Source organism: Homo sapiens, chromosome 20, assembly GCF_000001405.40.
Source record: "Homo sapiens chromosome 20, GRCh38.p14 Primary Assembly".
NCBI classification, from domain to species: Eukaryota; Metazoa; Chordata; class Mammalia; order Primates; family Hominidae; genus Homo; species Homo sapiens.
In genome coordinates this window covers 433,751-435,479 of record NC_000020.11, presented here as the reverse complement: position 1 = coordinate 435,479, position 1,729 = coordinate 433,751, and positions in this window count along the sequence as shown.

The window sequence follows — 1,729 nt, the reverse complement described above, 5'->3', positions numbered from 1 at the left end:
GTTTCCCTGAGTTCTGTGAGCCACTCTTGGCAAATCATGCCACCCAAAGAGGGTGGTCAGTCCAATGTTGTGGCAGAGGCGGCGGTCTTGTGGGACAGAGCCTTGAACCTGTGGATTCCATTTCCAGATACTATAGGTAGGGTGAGCACTGAATTGAATTGGAGGATACCCAGCTGATGTAGGCTGCAGAATTGCTTGCTTGCTTGGTGTCAGGGGAGAAATCCCCAACACATTTGGCCACAGATGTCTGTTGGTATTGAGAGAGCAGTGGAGGAAAACACAGTTTGAGTTCATGTTTTTTCCACTCTGGGTACTGTCACAGTCGACACAACTGGTGCGGGTCTGGGGTGCTCTTGGTGTGTTTCACACCCTGGTCTGGGGATCCTAGGAGCTGGCATTTGGTTTTGGATCCTAACCAGAGCTTGATGTGCCGCTTCTCCACATGCCCTTTCTGTCCACAGAGGAGCTGCTCAGCCTACTCTTGCCAAGCTTTCCAGTATCCTCCAGACACTGCTGGCTGCTGGGGAGCGCGCGCGCAGAGCAGTGCCCGGTGCAGGGCCTCCACCCTGGGGATGGGGCCATCGGGGAGACACTGTTGTCTGTGTTGTTTGTTTCCTTGGCTCAGAGGGGAGATGCGCAGGTTCCCGGGGCCAAGCCAGTGGCACTCAGCTCCTGCCACTGTGGGCCAGGGTCACACTGCCCTTTGATCTGACAGTCGTGGATTACGCAGGCTGCCCAGGGCACTGCGCTGCCTCTGAAAGCTCACACCAGAGCTGCACTCCAGGAGCAATCTATCCTGCAGCAAATTCAGGGCACTTTCATAGAAGGTGAGGGTGGAATGTGAAGGATGAATAGAATTATGATAATTGGAGAACTAAAGGAAGGGTATGTGTGGGATACTAAGAAATATTTGGTCTTTCTCCTGGGTTCCTAACACGGGTCTCCTACAACCCTTGGAATTTCGTGAGTGGTGAGTGTCTTTTGTTATTCATAACCCCTTTCCAGCCCATTTGAGTTCATGCTAATGAATTCGTTAGAGCAGGGCCCCTAGATTGCCTCGGGGTTGCTCCTGCACCAGAAAGACCAGGTGATTCGAGGGCGGAAACTTTCAATCCCAAGCAGTGACTCCTGGGAGTTGGAGTGACAGAGGTGGAGCACTTTACAAACTTGAGATTCAGGGCTGGGCGCGGTGGCTCACGCCTATAATTCCAGCACTTTGGGAGGCCGAGGCAGGTGGATCACCTGAGGTCAGGAGTTCGAGACCAGCCTGGCCAACATGGTGAAACCCCGTCTCTACTAAAATACAAAAATTAGCCGGGCATGATGGCGGGTGCCTGTAATCCCAGCTACTCGGGAGGCTGAGGCAGGAGAATTACTTGAACTTGGGAGGCGGAGGTTGCAGTGAGCCAAGACTGCACCCCTGCACTCCAGCCTGGGCAACAGAGCAAAACTCCGTCTCAAAAAAAAAACAAAAAAAACCCCAAAACTTGAGATTGCAGTGGCTGCCAGTCGCTCCCATCCCTAACCCTGTTCATCTCAAGCGTGGCTGTTCCTGCCCACACTGCATCCTTGAGGACACCACACCAGGAAGCGTCAGGGCAGGGTGATCTTCAGTTCTGAGTCACTCAGGCAAATTATTGAACCTGAGGGGGTGGAGTCATGGGAACCCCTGAATGTGTAGTTGGCCAGGAAGTGTGGGTAGCCCAGGAAGTGTGGGTAGCCCAGGAAG